Source organism: Homo sapiens, chromosome 7 (assembly GCF_000001405.40).
Source record: "Homo sapiens chromosome 7, GRCh38.p14 Primary Assembly".
NCBI classification, from domain to species: domain Eukaryota; kingdom Metazoa; phylum Chordata; class Mammalia; order Primates; family Hominidae; genus Homo; species Homo sapiens.
Genome location: NC_000007.14, coordinates 77,252,803 through 77,278,370, shown reverse-complemented (window position 1 = coordinate 77,278,370; position 25,568 = coordinate 77,252,803). Strand labels below are relative to the sequence as shown.

General features: G+C 39.9%; 1 protein-coding gene and 1 long non-coding RNA gene across 13 annotated transcripts in view, besides 1 other annotated feature; one reads left to right on the top strand and one right to left on the bottom strand.

Moving 5' to 3' along the window:
• The window catches only part of CCDC146 (coiled-coil domain containing 146), a 172,590-nt gene that overhangs the window by 16,834 nt on the left and 130,188 nt on the right, over positions 1-25,568 (bottom strand). For 8 of the 9 annotated variants that reach the window (XM_047420662.1, NM_020879.3, XM_047420664.1 and 5 more), the window contains 7 exons: positions 23,808-23,865; positions 21,862-22,038; positions 19,303-19,376; positions 18,135-18,362; positions 16,064-16,250; positions 4,582-4,677; positions 3,719-3,889 (listed from right to left, as the gene is read on the bottom strand). In XM_047420662.1, the coding sequence (XP_047276618.1) occupies positions 3,719-3,889; positions 4,582-4,677; positions 16,064-16,250; positions 18,135-18,362; positions 19,303-19,376; positions 21,862-22,038; positions 23,808-23,865 (991 nt within the window). The remainder of the gene's footprint in view (positions 1-3,718; positions 3,890-4,581; positions 4,678-16,063; positions 16,251-18,134; positions 18,363-19,302; positions 19,377-21,861; positions 22,039-23,807; positions 23,866-25,568) is intronic. The other variant, XM_047420666.1, reaches the window with a different exon arrangement.
• On the top strand, positions 19-25,568 carry LOC102723791 (uncharacterized). 4 transcript variants are annotated; one of them, XR_927688.3, is made up of 6 exons: positions 19-227; positions 796-857; positions 12,908-13,015; positions 21,116-21,170; positions 22,896-22,973; positions 25,494-25,568. It is a non-coding gene; the product is annotated as an uncharacterized LOC102723791 (long non-coding RNA). The 4 variants fall into 4 exon arrangements; XR_001744950.2 differs by lacking the exons at positions 12,908-13,015; positions 21,116-21,170; positions 22,896-22,973; positions 25,494-25,568 and adding an exon at positions 7,323-10,630; XR_428214.4 differs by lacking the exons at positions 12,908-13,015; positions 21,116-21,170; positions 22,896-22,973; positions 25,494-25,568 and adding an exon at positions 4,004-4,148 and having other exon boundaries at positions 19-173.
• Positions 6,595-6,777: a silencer, noted in NCBI's record as "fragment chr7:76900911-76901093 (GRCh37/hg19 assembly coordinates)". NCBI's record gives its function as "represses an EF-1alpha promoter that drives an FKBP-Casp9 reporter gene in an ReSE screen in phorbol 12-myristate 13-acetate-treated (for megakaryocytic differentiation) K562 erythroleukemia cells {active_cell/tissue: K562(+PMA)}" and the evidence as "EXISTENCE:reporter gene assay evidence [ECO:0000049][PMID:32094911]".

The following is a 25,568-nucleotide window of genomic DNA, read 5'->3' as shown; positions in this document are numbered from 1 at the left end:
GGCTAGCTGAACTGATTCACATTGGCTAAGACAAACTGTTAACTGTTACCTAAAGAAGAGAACAAACGAGAGAAGAGAAAACGCAAAGAGCCTGCATGGCTTGGGTTTGAGGAAAAGTTTGGACAACTTTTGAGAGAGAGGAAGAGTGATTTTGAACCACACAGCTGGACTGGGTGAGTGTAGTTTATGGAAAATAGATGAGAGAAGAGGATTCCTAGTAAGTTTTGGTGAGTGTTATAAACTGAACCCTCTGTGGTGTTTTGTCAGAGACTGAAGCAATGATTTTAAAGTGCTTTCCATTCTTTTGTATGTGGGGTGTTTTCCTACATAATAAGGCATCATATTGAGATCAGCTGTAAGGAGGTGTTACACATAAATATTTTAAAAGAAAGCAGTTATATTTCTAGAGTTCTAAAAAATATATCAAGTGCTAAATACACTAGTTATGTTCTTCAAATCAAAAGATACTGGTTCTTGCATCTGGGATAAGAAACATATTCAAAAATGAAGGATTTGCTGGTAGTAAACCAGAGGAAAGAGTTTGTCAGCCTTCTCTCAAGGACTGAGAGCAAAGCCCTTTTGGTATGAGTGATTTGAAAGAAACTAGCCATAGAGCCAAGATTGATGTGTAGCATTTTTCTAATGCTGTTCTCCATGAGAATAGGGGTCAGGAAGAAACGAATATTTAAGTAACTGTACACATGAATAATAAAACAGATGGGAAAATGTAGTGTCATCTATTCTGTCTTAGGGGTGATAGTGACATTGTTTTTTTTTCTTCACCTTTGTCTTTAGGGATGTGGATGCAATGTGAACATAAAAGATTGCCTTCTTATGGAAACTGCAGCTAAGTACAGGTAATGTTTAACACACTAATTCCTAATGCTAAAAATACTCAAGGGATAAACATTTGTCCTTTATCAATTTCTGTATCTCAAGAAGAATTGTCTATTTTGGTTTAATACAAATTAGCTCATTTAATAATGAGGTTTGCTTTACATAGATTAGTCACACATAGATATACATGTATATCAGTTTTTGAAATTAATTGAAAATTATCTAATTCATAAAACGGATCAGTGTTTCTTATAACAAATAAGTATACCTCTGGTGTTTCTGTAATTTCTAAAGAGAAAAGGGAGGAAGTTTCTAACTAGGAAAGACTCACTTGAGTGGGATCTTCCCAGCCAACACCAAGTTGTCCCAGACCCTGACTTGGTGAAGATGGCTTTCTTCTTCCTTCTTTTCCTTCCTTCCCTCCCTCCCTTCCTTCCTTCTTATTCTTTATTTTTCGTTTTTGAGACAGAGTCTCGCTCTGTCACCCAGGCTGGAGTGCAGTGGCGCAATCTCAGCTCACTGCAACCTCCGCCTCCTGGGTTCAAGCGATTCTCATGCCTCTGCCTCCTGAGTAGCCGGGATTACAGGTGCCCACCACCACGCCAGGCTAATTTTTTGTACTTTTAGTAGAGATGGGCTTTCACCATGTTGGGCAGGCTGGTCTTGAACTCCTGACCTCAGGTGATCCACCCGCCTTGGCCTCCCAACGTGTTGGGATTACAGGCGTGAGAGACCGCTCCTGGCCCAAGATGATCTTCCCACATCTCTCCTCTCTCCTCTCCTTGTCCTGCTCCTGCATCTTACCCGCTTAGCCACCCTGTGCTTTGAAGCTGCCTTTCTTTCATCCAGTCCTCCCTGACCACTTCTTTACCTAGTGAAACCCAACTACTCCATGAACTTCACTCTTGCTGCAGCCTTCATTATGGAGTCTAAATTGTTTAACATGGATTAAGTGACTTTCATCATCTGACTTGTCCCGCTCTCTGGTCTCACTATTTGACATCCTTTCTCCCCATCTTCCCATGTGCCAGCCATCCTGAACTTCTTTTAGTTTCTTAAATATTAAAGTAGAAAAATAAACAGTGAAAGGGGGATGTGAAGTGCCTGCAGTGGGTTGTGCAATGTAGATCTTCTCTTTTTTGCAAAAATCTACTTCATACCTCATTGCTCACTAATGCTTTGGCGTGAGTGAGCTCTTTCTGCAGAATGAGAAGAAATACCATTCTATGTAAATCCTTACTTAGACTGAGAACAAGGGATGTGCTTAGAAACAGACCAAACAGACCACATCTGGGTCATGAGATAAATTCTTTTTTTTTTTTATTTTTGAGAGGAAGTCTCGCTCTGTCACCCAGGCTGGAATGCAGTGGTGCGATTTTGGCTCACTACAACCTCCACCTCCTAGGTTCAAACGATTCTCCTGCCTCAGTCTCCCAAGTAGCTGGGATTACAGGCACCTGCCACCATGCCTGGCTAATTTTTGTATTTCAGTAGAGATGGGGTTTCACCATGTTGGTCAGGCTGGTCTCAAACTCCTGACCTCAAGTTATCCACCCGCCTCAGCCTCCCAAAGTGCTGAGATTACAGGCATGAGTCACCATGCCTGGCCTGATAAATTCTTCTATTTTAGTAATATGTAATATCCTGTTTATTTTTAACAGGGAGCTTCTGGGCATGATCTGGACATAATCCTTATATGGAATAAACAATTCTAATGGTAGAATTTTAGCTTGCATGACAGGAGTGCTGCCTTACCATTTGTTTTATTGTTGATTTTAGGGGGGAATGTTGCACTGGCACTTTGTAGGAGGCCCAGGAAAATCATGGTGTGATGAAGCAACTAAGGGTATCTGGCATTCGATTAAATGATGCTGTCTTGATGAAGTTGGGAGGGACAGTTACCTAATGCTACCACTCTTGAGTTGTTCCTGGACAAATCACAGTGGAGTCTGAGATGGGAGTGAAAACTAAATGATATCTGCAGCCTATGCAGCTGCCAGCCCTGTCCACTGGAGGCACCCACTTTATTCTTACTGAAATTGCCATCTGTTCAAATCCTCCGATCATTATCAATGATCTCCTTTCCCATCTAAATTGTTGATTACTGTTAATTGAATCTTGGGACTATCTTTCAGTGCATGATTGAATCTCATTTAGGGAAGATTTATAGTCACTGGTACTTGAAGGAGAGGCACAGTTATAGTGGTTCCTTGGTATACATAGGGAACTGGTTCCAGGACCCTTTGAGAATACAAAAATCCAAGCATATTCAAGCAGTCCCAAAGTTGGCCCTGTGGAACTCACCTGTAAGAAAAGTGGGCCTTCCATATTTGCAGGTTTTGTATTCTGTGAGTACTCTACTTTTGATCTGCATTTGGTTGAAAAAAATCTGTGTATAAATGGACCCATGCAGTTCAAATCCATGTTGTTCAAGGGTCAATTGTATAGCTTTTCTTTTTTTTTTTGAGTTTCCTTCCAGTTCTTTTTTTAATATTTATATATTTTTATTATACTTTAAGTTCTAGGATACATGTGCACAATGTGCAAGTTAGTTACGTATGTATACATGTGCCATGTTGGTGTGCTGCACCCATTAACTCATCATTTACATTAGGTATATCTCCTAATGCTATCCCTCCCCGCTCCCCTCACCCCACAACAGGCCCCGGTGTGTGATGTTCCCCTTCCTGTGTCCAAGTGTTCTCATTGTTCAATTCCCATCTATGAGTGAGAACATGCAATGTTTGGTTTTTTGTCCTTGCGATAGTTTGCTGACAATGATGGTTTCTAGCTTCATCCATGTCCTAATGCACGTGGCATTATAATGAGGCTACCCTGAACTCTTGTAGTTATCAATGAATGGTTAAAAAAATGCAGTTACCTGAGCTTTCAGGAAATCCTTGGACTTTTGTTCCTTTTCATCAATTTTGATTTGAGTCATGCGGAGAAGGTTGACTACTAGCTCTTTCATGTTTTCTTGCTCCTTTAAAAGCTTGTTTTCTTCTGCAAGTTGTTGTTCTACTAACTTAGACTCCATTTCTGATATAATTTTCTTTTGAAAAAAAACACAGATAATATTATAAGTTATTTGTTTGAAGTAATACAGTAAAGCTAGTATCTTAGACTACCTTTTTACTTCCTATACAAAATGTATTTTTTTAAACAGGCCAGGTGTGGTGGCTCACGCCTGTAATTCAAGCCTTTGGGAGGCTGAGGCAGGATGATGACTTGAGGCCAGCAGTTCAAGACCAGCCTGAGCAACATAGCAAGATCCCTCTCTATAAAAAAAATAAAAATTAAAAATAAAGTAATGGTGTTTTAGCTTCATTGTTTTCATTTTGTAAAATAATGTGAAAATCGATGGGTTAACATGATAGAACCTCTTTGTATTTAGACTGTATTTTCAAGTGACTAAGAAAAAGAAGACACATAAAAACAAACGAAAATTTGAAATTAGACATTGGTGAAATAAAACATCTGTGGTTTACTTTTAATGTAATCAACAGCCCATAATTTAAAAATCTCATTCCTTTGAATACTTTTTGCGGTTCAAACATATTCTTTTTTCTCAAATTTAGTGTAGGATTGGAGTGGACTTTGAGATGAAGAAATATGCCCACATGAAGCAGGATCATACTCTCTTTGATGACTCTCTTATTGATAAGGTTTTGTGGAGCACAGTTAAAAGCACAACTTTGTATGAACGCTTCTTAGATAGAAGCTTAAATGAGCATTGATATTAACCTGTTGGGCCAAATTCCTCTTAGCTACTTCAACTTCCTTGTGAAGCTCTCGCCTTCTCTCAGATAATGTAGAATCATCTTTGGGGATAGCTTCCATCTGGAAATCAAAATTTAAAAACATGCATTTATGTAAGAAATAAATCTTTGGGAGGCTGAGGCAGAGAATTGCTTGAACCCGGGAGGCAGAAGTTGCAGTGAGCTGAGATCGTGCCACTGCACTCCAGCCTGGGTGACAGAGTGAGACTCTGTCTGAAAATAAATAAATAAATAAATAAATAAATAAAATTCACTGCTGTGTAGTCAACCTCATCACACACTTTTTGAAAATGCTGAGCAAATCACGAATCTCAATCTTATAAGAACTTCCCTTTATGCCAAATATTCTTTATAAGCCATGGCAAATTAAAATATGAAGACCTGCCAAAAATCTATAATTTGCCAGCTGCAAATGTTTATTATTTAGAAATAAATCTTACTAATAGCTAACATTTATTGAACATAAACCAAGTGTCCAGCAAGGTTCTAAATGCCTGTGTATACGATCTTATTTCATCATTACAATACCCCTCATGAGGTGGGGAATATTTTCTCCAATTGTACAGATGAAGAGAATGAGGCACAAACACATTTAAGCAACTTGCCTCAATGGTGCAGGTGTAAACCCAGGGAGGTAGACTTGGAACCCATGATCTGCCTAACTCATCTAACTCATGACCCAGCACTTTGGAGACATGAATATACTATGACTATTCAAATTATAGTTATTATAAAATGTGAGTACATTTATGAAATTGTATAGGATAAAGAAAAATATGTAATTTATTAATAATAGTGGGGATAGTTTGCTACTTATATATAGTCATTTGATTAGTAGCTGGAAATTTCTTACACAAAAGAAAAGCCTCAACTTTTTGGTTGATACCTAAAATTTCACCATTACATTTCTGTTGTAACGGCTTGCACTTTTCTCCTGTGTTGACGTACTTTAGGGAAAAGGCAAATCTCACTCTTTAAGTCTTTGTTGCCCTATTAGGAATGAGCTTGTCAGATTCTTTGTGATGAAGACGAGAGTAGAGAGGAGGACATGTGGCAGCTGATGGGGAAAGGGTACCATTCAAGGCTACAGGGAGGGTCATCTTGGGGTGCTTCCAGCCTACTTGACTTAGAGCAAGTTTAGAGTTGGCTATTTACACCAAAAGCTCATGACTCCAATCTGATGTGGTTCAGTTCCTACTGTGACAGCACACACTTGTAGGCCCTAAGGTTGAATAATGGCCAAAATTTAGACCCAAGAAAGGAATATCACACTGTCTAGTGATTTGAAGGTTACTTAACAGGATCTTTTTGAGGATCATGCTGCTATGTTAAAGTCACTAAAGTGTGTCTTTGGATGCCCCATCATCCATGAATCAGGGTATCTTCAGTAGCACCTTCTGTACCCTCAGGTGTCCATGTCCTGCTTTTCCATTGGGTCTCCTACCCTGGAGCACTAGCTCTTGAGATGCACACACTGGACTTAGGAAAACGAGATGTGGTCTTGTGAAACATGTCTGACAATATACAGAATGTTGTGGGCTTAACAAACATAAAATTGCTATAGCAGATCAGAAAAGGGAGAACTCAGTATAGAATTGAATAATTGGGAAAGCCTTCCTGGAAGATGTGAATATTCATCAAGGAAGTGTTGATTTCTCCTTTAGGAAAGTCAAGTTAAGACCTCCTGGATAGAGGAACTCCAGCAAACATCCTGGGTCCCTGTCTGATTCTCTGCTACAGGTGTGCCTGGAGTGGGCTGTCCTCATGCTCAGCTCCCGGGTGTCGGCAGATGTAAACGTGAATAACAGGGCCCAGGAACCCTTATGAGGTTTCGACAGAAAATATGATGAGAACACACTCACTAGCTACTATGTCAACTAAAGGCTCTCGACAGATTTTTCTGGCTTGAGGTCTAGACACTTTGGTTATTTCCAATATTTTGAAACACAAACAATACTTCAATAAATTGTATTCATTTTTGAACTCTGGCTACTGCTTCTCTGATACCATTTTAAATTCTCTGTAAAGCCCAGCTCTCTAGTTTCAGGCAGGAATTAGGTAGGCTTGGCTTGTGGAAGAGGTGACATGATAAGCCATTGGTAGCAGAGCCTCCTGGTTGCCTAGCCAATAGCTACCCTCCACCTTGATCTTAGCAACTCTATTAGTCAGGGTTCTTTGTATCTCCATATATATATATATATATATATATATATATATATATATATATATATATATATATATCTCCTATTAGTGTGTGTGTATATATATATATATAAAATAAAAAGGGGAGTTTATTAAGTATTAACTCACAGGATCACAGGGTCCCACAATAGGCCATCTGCAAGCTGAGGAGGAAGGAAAGCCAGTCTGAGTCCCAAAACTGAAGAAACTTGGAGTCCGATGTTCGAGGGCAGGAAGGGTCCAGCACGGGAGAAAGATGTAGGCTGGGAGGCTAGGCCGGTCTCTCATTCACATTTTTCTGCCTGTTTATAGTCTAGCCACACCGGCAGCTGATTAGATTGTGCCCACCCAGATTAAGGGTGGGTCTGCTTTCCCCAGCCCACTGACTCAAAGGTTCATCTCCTTTGGCAACACCTTCACAGACACACCCAGGATCAATACTTTGTATCCTTCAAGCCAATCAAATTGACATTTAGTATTAACCACGACAGCAACAGAATGCTGTTTTTTTTTTTTTTTTTCCAGAGCTGCAATGTATCCAGGAGTCCTCACACTTCTTTGCAGCTGGGGGTGCCCATATGAGCTAAGACAAGCCAATGAAATGTAAGTGGAAGTCTGTGAGGAGGGGTCCTGGGAAAGTGGCTGTTTTCCTGTTAAAAGGAGCTGGCCAAGCCAGCAATCATTTATGTCTTTTGCTCGTTGCCCTTCCTCCTCCTTTTGCCAGTTTATGCTTAAGGTGGAATAGCCATTTTCTGACCATGGAGAAACAATGTACACACTAAGGTTGACTGAAAGGGGAGCTAAAAGGATCCTAGACTTTTCATTATGTGAAATAACCGGTTGTGCCTACCTGTGCTCTTTTTATTAAGTGAGTAAAACAACTCCCTATTTAGCAAAATCATTATAGTTGAGTTTCTATTACTCATTGAGGCCAAATTGCAAACCTAACCTAATAGGTGTTTCTCTTGAAAGGAAACCTTCCCAAGGTAATCTGGAAAATAGGCTGGAGTTAGACTGAAGTCTCCATTAATGTGGGAGGAAAATAACTATCAAGTATCAAAGTTCTAACTACATGGTCTGGAGTTACTTGAGATATTTTCCATTTCTTTTGAGCCCCAAACTGCATATATCAGGTTTTGTAAGCTTATGATAGTTCTTTTAGTTTTTATAGTGTAGCATTTCACATTTAAAAATGTATTTATTGTGATTGTGACCAAACAACAGAAATGTGTAAAGTAAAAAAAAAAAAAAAATCTGCTTCCTACCTCTGCTGCTTCAAGTACTACTCCCCAGGAGTCACTATTAATAGTTTTGGTGTCTGTTCTTCCAGGCATTTTCAATGCATGAATAATCATCGGTAACTTTCATAAAAGTTAAGAAATTAGACATTACTTGTTGCTGTAAATATCCCAATTATTTGATATCAGTGAACCTCAGCTTAACACTTTGATATTTTTCTAAAGCATTCCAACCTTTCATGAGGCTTGTACCTTGAGTTTCTGGGAGAGTCTCTATGTACAAGTCAAACGCCATAGGAGAATCAAACAACTGTCTCTGGGGGGAAATACATTCTGAAGAATAGCTAGAGCTCTTCATGTTTACCTTTTATCTCTTTTAGTTTTGGATTGCATGCAAGTCTGAAAAAATGTTCACTTGGGCTGGGAGTGCCTGGCCTGACCCACTCCTGTTTTCAAGTACTGCCAGCTGTGGGCAGTGGCTGGGCTAATTATAAATCACAGGGTCAAAGAGGAAGTTAGTCTCTCACTGAAACTGTACTAGAACAAAACCAGATTTTTCTTAAAATCAACAAAGGAAAAGGATTCTAATACACTTTAATTTCTGTTAGTTTTATATTCTATGGGTGCTTAGTTTTATATTCAATGGGTGCTATTTTGTGGACTTAATAGCTAGTAGTGTCATAATATAAATAGCTTTTATAATATTTGTTAAAATCTGAACAACTTGTGCGCATTCCACTGCAAACTCCTCTTCGGTCAAAGGCCATGCCTCACATATTTTGTGTCCAGTCAGATCAAACTACAGTGACAAGCCTCACCATCACAGACAGCTTCCAATTAGATTTATAGCAGCCCATGCTTAAATATAAGCAGATAGCCAAGAATTACCATATATTGGAGGAAAGTTTCTAAAAAGAAAGAGACAAAAACAAAAAAAGAAAAATACAGAAAAAACACGGAGAAAAAGTCTTATTTAGGAAAAGAAGAAGAAAAAGAAACCATCATTAATAGCCTCAATGAGATAAGAGATTAAAGATACTATGAAAAAGAAACATCCAGAGAACAAAGAGAGCACAAGGAAATATAAAGTATGATAGCATAATGAAAGAGTAGAAGGGTTGAAAGGAAAACTTGAGGAAATTTCTCTTTTAGCAAGTCAAATGACAAAAAAGAAAGGAAAATAAAAGAAAAAAGAAAATTAGAGGACTGTTTTAGAAGGTCCAACATCTGCGTAAAAGGAATCCAAGACAGAATAGAGAAAATCAAATGGACAAAATTAAATAATCCAAGACAAAGTATCAGAACTTTGGAAGGACATATACTTCCATAGACAGAGAACCCATTCAGTGCCCCACACGATGGATACAATGGGAACATCATTGTAAAATGTAAAAATTCTGGAGGCAAGTAAGAGATCCTACAAATTTCCCAGCATGGAAAAAAAAATGGCTTCAAATAAAGGATCAATATTTAGAATGACATCAAATCTTCTTCATAGTGAAGCTAGAAGGCAGTTAATCTAATGCCTTTTTCCTGAGGGAAAATGATTTCCAACCTAAAATTCCATATCCAATTAAAGCACTAATTGTCTGTATGGCTAGTGTGAGGGTAAAATATTTTTTAGCATGCAAGGTCTTCTGACATACAATTTCCAACACACAAAGTCTTAAACAATTACTTTTTCACTAACATTTTTCTCATGAAGCTACTGGAAGGCATGTCCCCTCCTCCAAAAGGGGGTAAGCTAAGAGAATAAAATAGATGAGACCCATGAAATAGAGTCGGAAGAGAGGTGAAGGGCATCAGCAAGATGATGGAGTAAGGCTCCTAGAATGAGAGCAGTGCAGTAAGCACATACAGAAATGGACTACTTTGGAACAAGTCAGAAGGCTGAGAAAGAAAAAGGCAGCCCCTGGTATCCAGGAGCAGAACTGGTACTCATAGGTAGGCCTTGGTATTCCCCTGTTGAACATAAACAATTGCCCAGAACATCAACTTCAGACAAAGCCCCTCTGTAATCATGATGGATCAGGACAAAAACAAGGCCACTCCATAACTGTATTTGAACATAGACAAAAACATGAACATTGTCCAAGCCACAAAATACCATAAATTCCCCTTGTATAGCTTTGTTTAACAATCACAGTTTTGGTCTCCATCTAATCTTTTCTTTTTCTAGGTAAAATTTAAGATACTCTACCACAGAATTACTCTCATTTCCTGAGAACATCCTAATTCAGGGCAAAGTCCCATTTCTTTAAACCGTTCCTCAAGTCACATGACACATATCCTGTAAGTCCTTTCTAATACCCTCTATTGAGACTCCCTACAATTCTCCATGGCGTGTGTTCTCCCTTGCTGCAATATGTAATAAACTCAGCGCATTCAACTGCTGATGTATTCCTGTTAGTCTTTGGCTAGAGGTCATTGATGAGGCTTAGAAGAGATTTCTTCAAGAAGAGTAAATGAATAGGCCATCAAATGTGTTTTAATATACTGAGAGGAGATTTATATAATTGGAGAAGAATTTGGGATTGAACTGATAAGCACACCGAAAACTATAAAAGTGTAAAAACAGGATGTTTATAAATTCCTGGGAACACAAAATTTTGTAAGGGTAATTATATAATATCACATGGCTCAGGCACGAATAGCCTTTATATGTTCATAATAATAACAAATTCTGAACTAATCAAAATTATGACATGAGAATACCGTGTATACAGAGGGACAAGAAATGTATTTGTGATGAACAGGGGTCTAAAGAGGGCTGAATCCTCATCTTTTATAGTGATTAAAAAAAAAAAAAAGATCAAGTCTACAACTGAAAACTCAAGTAGCAGCATCATAAGCATGTTACTTGGGGTATGAAGATATACCAAAAGAACTGGCTGAAGAAACAGCGCTTGATTAGGAAGATGACTTGATTAGGAATGGGAAATACATGGACAAACTTTCTATGCCTGGGGCAGACATCACCAATCAACTACAGAGCTTCTATCTGACAAGTCAGCACTGGGCCTCAGAATCCTTTGCAATATTGGGCCAGGCGCGATGGCTCACACCTGTAATCCCAGCACTTTGGGAGGCCGAGGCAGGTGGATCACCTGAGGTCAGGAGTTTGAGACTAGCCTGGGCAACATGGTGAAACCCCATCTCTACTAAAAATATAAAAACTAGCTGGGCTTGGTGGTGGGTGCATGTAATCCCAGCTACTCAGGAGGCTGAGGGCAAGAGAATTGCTTGAACCGAGGAGACAGAGGTTGCAGTGAACCGACACGGTGCCACTGTACTCCAGCCTCAGCAACAGACTGAGACTCTGTCTCAAAAAAAAAAAAAAAAAATTCCTTTGCATTATCATCACTACAGGGAGCTACCCCCAAATGGAGGGAGCTGGCATTTGAGATGAAACCTGTTTGCTTTTAGAGTATGATCTTTAAGATTCCTCTTGGTTCCTTCATTCTGTGATTATGTGAATTAAGGATCCATTGAATGTCTTGAGCAGGTGAGTGACACATGAATGTGTCACTTAAGAATATAAATTTGTGCTTTGGGCTAAGATGGAGGAAAAATTGGACATGAAAGGAGCTGGACCTATGGAGAACAGCTGGTGTAGAGCTGCAGTCATTTAGGTAATGCAGAGTGGGTACTGAGAGGCATTTCCGGGGTTTATCAGTAGGGCCTGATGATGTCATCTTCTCCATATGAATAAAATAGCCATATTCACAGTGTCATTCTGACTATACCATTTACTTTATAGCCTTTCAAAGAGTTCATATGTATAAAGGAAGGAAGGCAATATTTACTGAGTATCTTCTCGGTACCACACACTTTCCCATTTGCAGTCACTCATTTTTTGCAATAATCCCAATTCAAAGGTTTGGAAACAAGTAACATAGGTAGGAATTCAATGGATCTAGAATCTGAACCTGACTGTGCCTGACTCAAAGGTGAAGCTCTTCTCAGTATAGTATGTTGTTATCATTGCCTTCAACACTGAAATGAGTCATGAAGAGAGAAAAATGCAGAACCACTTTTAAATCAGAGCAAAGGGAGATGAAATTGCTAGAAAACTATAATTAAAGAAAAATTACAGTATATAGAAAGTGTCATATTCACTTGGTAAGAGGATTTTGTCATTGTCACAATCTTGGACATGATCTTATGTTTAGAAAGCGAATAACTTCACAGACTCATGATATTCTAACCCCTACAACATGATGGTGTCAGAGCAAAATCCTAGGAATCATGGTTTTCTTTCTTTTCAGTGCCACGTGGAAGTCAATAAGAGCCATGTTTAAATGCAGAGGTATACCGTCATGTGTGATATTACATGACAGTATGATGTCTTTGGTTAAGTAATTCATTCCACTTTGTCATGCCAACACACATGGTCATTAAAAGCTCTGATGGTTTTGACTAACCCCAGCAAAGTCTTTCTGCCTATGGCAGGCAAATCTTCCACCTGCCCAAGTCTCGACTTGGCAAATGTCTCAGGGAGGCAAAAGGCCACCTGTTTCTGCTCACCAGGAAGTGATGATGCCTTTGTGGAATTTACTTCCTACTTGCATATGTCTCTTAAAAATATGTGATTTTTAGTTTATTGATTTCTTTCTGGCTGGTATAGCAGAAACGATGGTCCATCACAATGTTTTCTATTTTAACTAGAAGTGGAAGTAGTAGGATTACATTGTGTATTAGGTTTATGTGTCCCTTCTATGGTACTTAATCTAGATTTTCTGGTAGAAGTGAACCTAAGTCTGTTTTTTTGTGTGTAGTCTTTTAGAACCAATCTTGTGATTTTTACCAATGTATAACCCTTCTTGAGCTAAGAAGTATTAATTTATGAGACAAATTATTGCTTCTATTTAGGTTACCTTACTCTTCAATATTAAGAATGCTTTGATGATTCAGCATTAGAAGCATATTGAATGGATTAACTTTACTTACTACCATAACTACCAAAATTGGTTATTAAAGGTAATTATACATTTTATCCCATTGTTTAAAGAAATCTTACTGAACAGTTATTTGATCAATAAACAGGAATTGTTTTATTAGTACAAGCAACACTTGCTGGTTTTAAGAGTCTTACTCATTACACTGAGGTTTCCGTCAGTACTTTGAATGGACATTATAACTGCGGTCTACTATAAATCTTACTATGACTGAGGAGGGGTGGCCACAGGGTCTGTGTTTGCCCAAAGTTCCAATTTAACATCCTAACGTGCTGTGCTTCGGGCTAAGATGGAGTAGCTTATAGTAAACCAATGCTTCCAACAAGAATAACTTGGAAAGTTGGAGTGAAAATATGTTTGAGGGCATAAGAGTTGCAAAGGTTAGTAAAGTTAAAATCATCAAAGGTATTAGCACTGTCTTGGAAGTAGTAAAAATACAAATAACTTATATTTGACTCTAGTAAGTCAAAGATGACTGTTGTAATCTTCAGGGTAACCACCCAAAGAATAGAAATAGAATGTAAAACTAACTGATGCATATCTAAAACAAGGATAGCAGAACTATATGAAACGTTGATTAATCCCAAGGAAGGAAATGTGGGAGAGAAAATGGAACATGAAGCGGATGGGATACAGAGAAAGCAAAAGTAATATCACAGAATAAGGACAAATATATCCACAATTACATTAAGTATTAATTTTTAGACTAAATACAAGAATTTAAAAAGGCAGAACTTATCAGACTAGATTTTGAAAAGTATGTGCTGTGTATATGAGACACACCAAAATGAGGACACAGAAAGAGTGACGGTAAATAGGGCTGGGTGCGGTGGCTCGCACCTGTAATCCCAGCACTTTGGGGAGGCCGAGGCAGATGGATCACTTGAGGTCAGGAGTTTGAGACCAGCCTGGCGAACATAGTGAAAGCCTGTCTCTACTAAAAATACAAAAATTAGCTGTGTATTGGTGGCACATGCCTGTAATCCCAGCTTCTTGGGAGGCTGAAGTACGAGAATTGCTTAAACCCGGGAGGTGGAGATTGCAGTGAGCTGAGATGGTGCCTGCACTTCAGCCTGGGCAGCAAAGCAAGACTGTCTCCAAAAAGAAAAAGAAAAAAAAATCAAAGTAAATAATACCATGCAGAATCTAACACGCCAAAAGATAGTGTAACTGATGTTATTATTCTAAAATCAGACAAAATAATATTTTAAGGCAAAAAGTACTACTAGAGTTAAAGAGATTTCAGAGTGATACAAATAAATCTACCTGTTGGAATTGCAATAAAATGATTAAATAAGAAGTATATATATCATAAATATACTATATATAACAGTTATATAAAAGTTATTTGTGAAAACACATATATAGTAGAACATACATGTTTTATTGGTTTTGCAAAAGACTATAAAAGTACATTTTGCCTCACTGAGATAGAAAACTTCCTTTTTTTGTTTGAGATGGAGTCTGGCTCTGTTGCCCAGGCTGGAGTGCAGTGGCACAACCTCAGCTCACTGCAACCTCCGCCTCCCGGGTTCAAGCGATTCTCCTGCCTCAGCCTCCCAAGTAGCTGGGATCATGGGTGTGCACCAGCACACCCGACCAATTTTTGTATTTTTAGTAGAGACAGGGTTTCACCATGTTGGCCAGGCTGGTCTTGAACTTCTGACCTCAGGTGATCTGCCGACCTCGGCCTCCCAAAGTGCTGGGATTACAGGCAGCAGCCACTGTGCCCAACCAGAGAACTTCTTGAAAAGATTATAAGTGCCATCTGACAGCAAGACGAAGTCCAAGTCCTAGTTGTTCGTAACACTCATAACCCTAACCGATTTTTTCACACATGTTGCTTAAGGTTGGTCTTTCAGTCAGGACAGGCTAAGTTATGCTACAGAAATAAACGACCTCCAAATATCATGGCTTCGAACTACCAAAGCTGTTTCCTACAAAGCCGGTGGGCAATCAAGAGGACTCTGAGACCACTGTTGGCTCAGCATTCCCGGCTGCTCCCATTTTACAGCACCTCCATGGTGTCATGCACTTCCACAATTACCACAGGAGAGGGAAAAACAGCTAGAGGGTCTCACATTGGCAATTAGATGTTATAGGCTGGAAGTGACACGTGTCACTTTTGTCTACAATCCTCTGGCCAGAATGAGTTATATGACTCTGCTCAACTGCAAAGGGTGCAAGGAAGTATAAACTTTCTATGTGCCCAGGAGGAGAGGAGAACTAGGCATAGGTTAGGATCAGAGGTGTCTACCACAGCTGGAAACTCCTGTTCAAATTTCTTAGGTCATGACCCTCCATAAGGTTCTGGAGCATGACAGTCCTGAAGAGAACGGGGAAGGTTTCTATACACCTAGCTGCTTCATCTCAGAGGCTGACCCCTTTTTCGCTCAAGGAAGGCTCTAGCACAAGGCTGAAGCCCTCTCAAGGATCCTCTGCCCTTTCAGTGGCGCTTGGTCATTTACCACAGGGAGTGCCCTCTGAGAGAAAAGAGAGCCAGGGGCAACCAGACCCCTCACTTGGGAACACAGAGGCAGGTAACAGTTGTCTTGAGCATCTTCTGACTGGAGTACACCTCTGACCCTGCACAGAATTAGCCAGGCAGCCTGATATTGGGTTCTGGATTGCCCTTGGCTAGTCGGAAGTGCAGGCTGCTGATCATTTATGTCTATGTAATTTGATCTAGTCCTTCACTGTTATAGTCTGCCATGACACCATGCCGGATCTGACTCCTTCAACTGGTGAAAATAATGATCCACTTGGCCCCATTCTGCAGTGAACCCTCTAGCTCTTCTAGAACTGGATAGTCCAGTCATTTCCCCAGGTCAGGCTGAAGGATGACTGATCCAAACAAGACATTTCTCTAATCTTGGGTTAGAAAAATGAGATTACGAAACATTATAGGACTATAGATTTCATAATAGGCTTGACGCATTTGAAAATTACCTTTTCTCTGTTACTTGTATTTTCTTCTTCTCTACTGGCAGCAAAAACAACTTCCTAAAATATTTTTACTTCAAAAGTTAGCACCGAGCTTAAAAATCAGATGGTAGTTTACAGCCCTCACCTCTAATAGAAGCCTTTGATGCAGTGCTTGAGTTTGCCTAAGTGCATCCCAGGACACTTTCAAGAGCAGTTCCATCTTTCTTAAATTTCGAAAATCTCGTTCTTTCTCTCTTTGCTTACGAGAAAGTTCATCATGGTAGTTCTGCTTGTCAATGAGACTGTTGCGTAAATTGAGATCCAAGATCCCTCTGTTCCAGGTAAAGGAAGAAGAAGAAAATGATTTTGTTATCAGCTGTCCTAAATGTTTTTCAAAACTTATCAAGACAGCATGCTGAATATTGGCTCCCAATCTCTTCTGGCAAAGACCTAAAAACAGAACTACCGTTTGACCCAGCAATCCTATTACTGGGTATATACTCAAAGGAATATAAACTGTTATATCCTAAAGACACATGCACACATTTGCTCATCACAGTGCTATTCACAATAGCAAAGACATAGAACCAACCTAAATGCCCATCAATGGTAGACCAGATAAAGAAAATGTGGTACATATGCCACAGACTATTATGCAGCCATAAAAAAGAATGAGGGCTGGGCGCGGTGGCTCACGCCTGTAATCCCAGCACTTTGGGAGGCCGAGGTGGGTGGATCATGAGGTCAGGAGATCGAGACCATCCTGGCTAACACGGTGAAACCCCGTCTCTACTAAAAATACAAAAAATTAGCCGGGCGCGGTGGCGGGCGCCTGTAGTCCCAGCTACTCGGGAGGCTGAGGCAGGAGAATGGCGTGAACCCGGGAAGCGGAGCTTGCAGTGAGCCGAGATTGCGCCACTGCAGTCCGCAGTCCGGCCTGGGCGACAGAGCGAGACTCCGTCTCAAAAAATAAAAAATAAAAAATAAAATAAAAAGAATGAGATCATATCCTTTGCAGGAACGTGGGTGGAGCTGGAGGTCATTATCCTTAGCAAACCAATGCAGGGACAGAAAACCAAATATCACATGTTCTCACTTATAAGTGGGAGCAAAATGATGAGGATACATGGACACATAGAGAAGAACAACACACACTGGAGCCTTTTGGAGGGTAGAGGATGGGAGGAGGGAGAGAATCAGGAAAAATAATAGGTACTAGGCTTAATACTTGGATAACAAAATAATCTGTACAACAACCCCCCATGACACAAGTTTACCTATAACAAACCTGTATGTGTAACCTTGAACTTAAAAGTTTAATAAAAGACAGCATGCTCAGTATATACACACATGACTATTCTCATGTTGGAATCATAAATTGTAAATAATGCCAAAGGCAACTAGGTTTGTGAGTTGGTATCATTTAGAACTGCAGTCTTATAACCCCCACCCCCCAAAAAAATAACAGACTGGCAGAGATAGAAGCCTCCAGTTTCCTTGAAATTTTACTTAAAAGCAGGACATAGGCTGGGCGCGGTGGCTCATGCCTGTAATCCCAGCACTTTGGGAGGCCAAAGCGGGTGGATCACGAGGTCAAGAGATCGAGACCACCTGGCCAACATGGTGATACCCTGTCTCTAATGAGAAGAAAAAAAAAAATTAGCCGGGCGTGGTGGTGCGCACATGTAGTCCCAACTACTCGGGAGGCTGAGGCAGGAGAATCACTTGAACCCGGGAGGCAGAGGTTGCAGTGAGCCAAGATCGTGCCACTGCACTCCAGCCTGGCGACAGAGCAAGACTCCATCTCAAAAAACAAACAAAAAAGCAGGACATAAAACTCTCCTAGGGAATTACACCACGAAATTGCTTCTGTTAGAAAAAAGTCAAGATGGCCTAAGAAGTATCATTCATTTGTTGGCAAAATCCCTGAACATAACATACTCCAGTGATAAATTTTCCAAAGGCACATTCAGAAACTTACAACATACAACAGATTATATCCTGAAAATCTGGTAACAGAAAATTGAGAAAATTTGAGTAAAGTATCAAAAAATACTTCAAAGTGCTTTATTTGATAATATATTAAGGGTAAAAGTTGATTTAAAATTATTTTTAAATATTTATTAACTCAACACCAAAGTGAGATTTTGAATTCTCAAATATAAATTGAAGAAAAATTTAGATGACAGAACATAACATACATAAATATAACTAACCTTTCAGTTAATGAAGTTGCTTCATTCTCTCTGGCTAATTCCAATAGCTTGACCAATTGGTTATGTTCTCGTTCTTTGATTTCAAGTAAGGCTCGTTTGCCTTCAACTTCCTTTATTACATTTTCCTTCTCATCCACTATAGCACTAACCTTGTTTTCAACTTTCTTTAGGGAGTCATTTAGCGTTTTGACTTCTTGTTCCAAGACAATTTTTTTCTTTTCCATTTCTCTGTAGGGGATACACACACACACACACACACACACACACACACACACACACACACACACACACACACACTTGCCTTATTTTGAGGCCATGCTGGCTTTACCTATTCTTGCTTTCTAACCATGCAGCAGAAGAGATAGTCATAAATTCAATGATCTCAGCAGTGGGTAAAGACCACAGATGGGTGGGACTTGGAGGGTATCTCCACTGAGTGCCACGGAAGGCAGGAATTTGCCCAGCCTCCCTACTTTCTGTGCAGATCCCAATTTGCTACCATCTCCTGTGATTCAACCCTCGTCCTGACCAGCCTCCTGAAACTGACCTGAGTTTCTCAACTTTGATGTTGGTGAGCTTAGTTTTTAGAACAGTTACTAGTGCCTGCCTAATTTTTCCCCTTAAGATTAGTCACCAGAGTAATTATATTATTTTTCCAGAATTTTTGTATCTTCACTTAAAATCTTTATCTTTTTTGGTTCCTTAAACACTGAGAATTTCCTCAATGACCTCTGCCTCCCAATCTACTCTGAATATCTGAGGAGTGTTATACACATGAATGGGTGGCAAAGTGGGGAGTTACTATTATTTGGGCTTTGGGCTGCTGCCTGGCTGATATACTTCTAGACTATGAAATTCTAACCAGTTCGCATAATTTATCCCATGCACCGCTCTGTTAAAGTCAATTGAACTTCTCCATAAAAATATGATTTATAAATTGGCAACAGAATCTTGACCCATAATTAAGCCATAAATACTATGAATGATAGAAATTTGGTGCATTACTTTCTTTTAAAGAACTTGATATAAACAACCTAGACAGGGCCCAAAGCAGAAATTTCTAAAATTATCATAGTAATTTAATGTGTCCAATGGTTAGTACTCTTGTTCTAGTGTGCACACATAACTTGGACTGGCAGGGATTCAAAGTAAAAATATTAAATCATACACTTTTTTGCGTGTTATTTTTTCTATCTCTTTTCCAATTTGTACTGGAATGGTTTGATGGTGGGCCACTTCATCCTAGTAAAGAAACGAAATCATGTTAAATTATGCGGTCTTCGGCTAGAAGCAATTAAGACAAGAAAATTAAATATGAGAGAGAAAGGAACTACAATATGTAGATACTTACCATCTGCCCTGTGTGCTTTAATTATCCCATTTAATACTCACGGTGACCTTGTAAGAGAGCTATATTTGTTATCATTTTGAAGAGGAGGTAACTGAGTGTAGCAAATACTGTTGGTCCTCTGCCCAGATTCCCTTTATGGAGGTACAGATGCTCCTCCACATACAATGGAGTGACGTCCCAATAAACCCGTTGTAAGTTGAAACTACCTTAAGTTGAAAATGCATTTAATACACCTAACCTACTGAAATCATAGCTTAGCCTAGCCTACATTCTCAGGACACTTTTATTAGTCTACAGTTCACCTAATACAAAGCTTATTATATAATAAAGTGTTGAGTGCCACACAGTAAATAAACATAACATATTGAATACTGTACAATAAATGTAATTTATTCAATACTGAAAATGAAAAACGGAATGGTTGCATGGGTACTTGAAGCGTGGTGTCTACTAAATGCATACTGCTTTCACACCACTGTAAAGTAGAAAAATCATAAGCTGAACCATCATAAGCCAGGGCCCGTCTGCCCACCCATCCCTCAAATGCTGCAGGGGTGACTGCTAATGGATCATGCTTAATCTCCTCTCCATCAGATTGTCACTGGCTGAGCAGAGCTGCCTTGTCAGGGAATGGGAGCCAGGGGGTGGAGGGAGGAGGGGAGCAAGCTGAGACCAATGACTAACTGATGTGGTGATCTAACAGACACCCCCCACCCCCACCTCTGGGTGCAACAGCCTCTGTGATGCAACTCATGACTTCTTGAGTTCTCCATGGGATCAGGCTGAGACTAGAGTTCTGAAGCAGCTGTATTCTGGCCCAGCTTCTTCCCCAGCTCTATCCTGCTTCCCTCCATCTCCTATAGGATTCTCCTTAGAGTTCTCCCTCCATTAGTAGTTGTCTTAGGGTCTGTTTCTGGGGAGCCCTGCCTAAGACTCATGCTACAAGAAGTTAAATAAGTTTCCCGAAGTCACACAGCTAGTAAGTGGCAAGGCCAAGCTCGGAAGCTAAGTTTGTCTAACACCGCACCTCCCACTATGCTCTGTGGATTCATGGGAGGTTCAGCTGAAGTCTCAAGAGTCTTACGTACTCAGCAAGGGTTATAGAAAAGCCCCTTCCTGCCCGAGGTTGTCATTGGACTTTGGAGCCAGGGGTAACACACATGCAGGGAGGTTGAATCCGTCACTGCAGTGTGGTGGGCGAGACATTTCTCTGTGGGATCTTGCTCAGTCCTGGGGCAGATCAAATTTTGTGGGGCTGAAACTTGTACAATCTTGGGGGCCCTCGTTAACAGAAAGAGTAAACAATTACAAATGCTAACTTAGGTGCAGCATCTTGGAAGAGGTTCATGCAAGTGAGGGGCCTGAAGCTTAAGCTTCACTGGGTTCCTGTTAAATCCATCTCTGCTAGGGTCCTATGTTCTGGACAGTAGCTGGGCACATCTTGGCTGTCTGCTCTAGGACTGTTATAGAAAAACAGGTCAAAGTGTATCACCATTATCCCCTAAGCCAATGAGTTTCAGATGTTGTTTTTAAAACAACTCTAGGTTATTAAAACTGTTTTGAGAGTCATTTATACATTTTTCAAAGTAAAATGAATTTTAATTCATTATCTCCTAAAACATAAATACAGGCCTCTCATCCCTTTTCTACTGAGAGGAAGTGGAATGCACTCCGACAAGGATAAGGTAATACAAATATATGTGAGAGGTTAGGACATTTGGTTGTTTTGGTATGTGTGTAGGTGTGTGTGTGTGTGCGTTTTGTTGTTGTTGTTGTTTTTGAGAGGGAGTCTCACTCTGTCACCCAGGCTAGAGTGCAGTGGCGCGATCTCAGCTCACTGCAATCTCCACCTCCCGGGTTCAAGCAATTCTCCTGCCTCAGCCTCCCAAGTAGCTGGGATTAGAGGCATCCACCATCACACACCCGGCTAATTTTTGTATTTTTAGTAGAGACAGGGTTTCACCATGTTGGCCAGGCTGGTCTCGAACTCCTAACCTCAGGTGATCCACCGCCTTGGCCTCACAAAGTGCTGGGATTACAGGTGTGAGCCACTGTGCCTGGCCATGGTTGTTCTTCAAGGAAACAATTGTGTTTGTGACACTTGTTTCTAATGTCCAGAAATGTTTGGTGAGGTCAGGAGAGACCTTTTCCGCAGGGTGAGGGCTCCGAATTATCGAGTGATACTCCCAAACACCCTAAGGTCTTTTGTGCATTCCCAGAGCCTAGATTTAGTTTGATAGGATCAATCGCAATGCAGATATTTCAGTTTGTGAGACAATACCCCTCTTTATCCAACCTGCTGGTTACTCTTGATACCCACACACTTTTATATCCATGCAAGGCACAATGTTTAAATATCAACGGTAAGTAGCACACCTTTAGGACGACCTGATGTCCCAACAATTCTTCTAGTTCCTTCTGCTCTTTTAATAATTGCTTTTGTTTAGATGCCAAATCTTCTCGTAAATTTTTAATTTCTAATTTCTTCTGCATTATTTCTTTACGTAATTCTTCAGTGCTTTCTCTCAATATTTTCATCTTCTTCTCCATTTCCTTTAAAAGTCGTGAAGATGATTAGGTTATATAGTCTGAGCAAACATTTATCTACCTAAAAACTGAACTAAAACTAATTTCACCCACCATTTTGATTATATTTGTTTTGAAGTTCATGAATGATTTCTCACAAGGTTAAATGATTTCTCATAAAGCTAAATGCAACTTATGATTTCTGACATCTTTAACAAAGGCATGATAATGATACTGCATGTATAATTAAACACAACATTATATTTGAATTATTTTATTAGTGCTCTTTTCTATCCTCCTACATTTAAAAACGTTTCATTTTATGTGTCAATTTTTATTTCATACCAAGAAGCATGAAAAAAAATGTACAGTCTGTTTTCTAGTAGCTTTGTGATCTGACAAAATCAGATGCCAATAATCTTTGAATATCTGACTTATGGTTAACCTGAGTCACATGGGAACTAAAGACAAAGGTGTTCATATTTGGATACCCAACACTTTGCACTCCTTAATCCCCCACTTTCTTATTGATATTACTTCTCTAGCTCATGCACATCCTCCCCAAATACCATCTACCCCAGAATCATCAAAGATCTTTGTCTCATGTCTGATTACCTGGGGAGGGTTTGACTTATGGGAGAGAAGGCTTCTTACACTCAGAAGGTCTACACGTTACTCTTACTAATGACGAAGTGCTGGGTCTATTTAGCCTGCCCTGGGCTTTCTGCATAGCTCCCTCCTCCCACCACTGCTGGGTGAGAGCATCATTGGTGATCCTAGGATCTGAATGAAAATTCAAAATGTTTCTCCCATAAAATCTGTATTGTAAATGATGGTTTGGCATACTTATTTGAATTAATAGTATTTTACTCTATGCTAAACAGGTTTTATTGTGAGCTGGCCTTGGAATTAAACCACCACCAACACACTTTTGGATTATCAGAAGGTGGAAGGAGTGCAAAGTATGGTGACCATTCTATTTACGTTCTATAATAGATTGTAAAAAGTGGCCACGAATTCCTCCTATCTGCAGGGTATGCATGTCCCTTTGCATTGTCTTGATCCTTCTTCCCATTAAGAGGTAGGGCCAACTTGATTCTAGACTTGCCCATGTTATAATACTTGCATTGGCCAATGGGGTATTACCAAAAATGATTTTAGCAGAGGCCCAAAAAGGTCTTACATATTGGAGTTTGCTCTTTATTGAGTCTGGAAACCCTTCCACCATCATGTGACCAACTAGTGACATGTGACCTTAGACCAAGTAGCCTACCAAATGGCTGGTATATGAATGGAGCTATCCTAGATTACCCAGCCCCAATTCGGCCAGCTCAGACCAGAATATTCGGAACTGTGAAAAAATGAAATGGTTGTTGTTTTAAGCCACTAAGTTCTGGGATGATTTGTTAGGCAGGAATAGATAAGTGATACATTTTCTTTGTAAAAATTTGTTGTAATAACTTGAGATGTTCAGAGAGCTATGAGGGTGATAGCTATAGCAAAATAATATTTTTAGTGTCAACCACAGAATCTTTTTTTTCTTCTGAAAACAAAGCAGATATTGTCCAACTAAATACAGCCTAAATTAGATGCCAAGTTGCTAAAGTCTATAATAGGCATCACTTATATTTACTCCAGAAGTTATGTAGCTAGTCTTTTCAGCATCATTCACAGTTAAGACTTTAGAGTCTTTAAAATGTTTCAGGCTATGGTGGTTGTGATAAACATTAATATTTATAAAAAGGGATGATTGAATCCAGCTGTATTTAAGAAACTCTATATCATCTAAGACTTACTCCTGGCTTTGTTATCTTCTCAAATTCTTTTACTATGATGATTTTTTCTTCCTTTAAGCTGCAAAAAAAAAAAATCAAGTTTGAAAAAGTACAAAGAAATAAGCTCTTTCTGTAATAACAACTTTCTATCTTCTCATCCCAGAATGTCATTCCCATGCTTGTCGGCCAGGCAACCTGGTGTCCATTCTTTATGACACCTTTCCTGAATCACAGGTGCATTGGGGTGCTTCCTCCTCCCCAGGACTCCCACCCAACTTTGTGAACACAACCCACTTAGAGGAGTTATCTCAGCACATTATAAATGTTGGGGACCACGGGCCTCGGGACACAGGGTCCTTCCCAGCAGGCTCTGGGCTTTTTCTCCTTTATGTTACTTGGAATGGGCGGGTGCCTGCCTGGATTCCTGCTACAGCCTCCCAATCGATCTCCTACTTTGCCTGCATCCACCTTTGCCCATTAAAGTCAATTCTCCACCCATACCACAGTGATTTTTTAACATGTAAATAAGATCACTTCACTTCCCTGCTTGATAAATTCCCATCACACCTGGACCAAAATTTGAACTCCTTTCCCAAACCTACATGGCCCTGCCTCATCAGCCTCTCTAGTCTCACAGCCTGCCACTCTCTGTCACCAGTCACACTGGCTTTCTTGCCAAGCTTGATTCTACCTCAGGGCCTTTGCCCTATCTGATCCCTCCAGCTGGTATGCTCTCGCCACAGATCTTTGCATAGCTCACTTCTTGCTTCATGCAGACCTGTACCGATATCATCTTCTCATAGAGGTGCCTGGCCATCTATCTAAAACAGTACCAATAGTCCTCAAAACTCTTTCCTTGTTTTGCTTTACTTTTCTATACAGTATTCATCATGACCTGACATTATATTACACATCTCCCCACTAGAAAACCTAGCTCCCAGTTTACCACTGCATCATCATTGTCTTAAAAAGTACCTGCGTATAGTTGCCATCCAGTAAAAATTAATATGAATAAATGGAACTAGAATTAGTTTTGTCCCCATCTTCATTATTTAAAATAATGTATGTGCTGAATGAGATACGGGCATGCATATGGAAATAGATCGTCACTCAGAATGACCTATTGCACCACATTCTTCTACATCCAGATTGCAGAAAACCCTCACAGAAATCACAGAAGAGTCCACAGTTGTTCAAAGGTGTGAAGAAGGGTTATTTGAAGAGCTCAGTTTCAGTTTTGTGTGACAATTGCATTCCTGAGGTATAACGAATGCTAGAGCCAGAGGAAACTTGACAGAGATCCAGATGTGATAGGGACATGGATACATAAGAGACTGAATGGATATTTCAGGTGAAGGGCAGATTTAGACCAGGAGCCAAGTCTAAGTGGTTATTAGGTATGGGTATTTGAGGACAATTATTTTCACTTTTGTTTCCACTACAAGCTATTAAAATTGTGGCATGAACTCATAAGCAGTCCAGGTGGGCACACCTTGTCTACACTTCTATCCTGTCATTGGCTAAGTTTATAAGGATCTGCCTTTGGCCCTTGTGACAGACACATTGGCATTGTTTGCTGCACCATTTTCCCTTCCTGGACACACAGGGGGACTATATTTCACAGTCTCCCTTGCATTTGGATTGGAGCCATTGGACTAATTTGCCCAAGGAAGGTGAGTGGAAGTAAGTAACAAATGTCTTCCCCAGCCATGTTGAACTTGGAAGGCACGTGCTCCCGCTGGCAAAGCTAAGGACAGACGTGGCTGCATGACTTGCACTGGA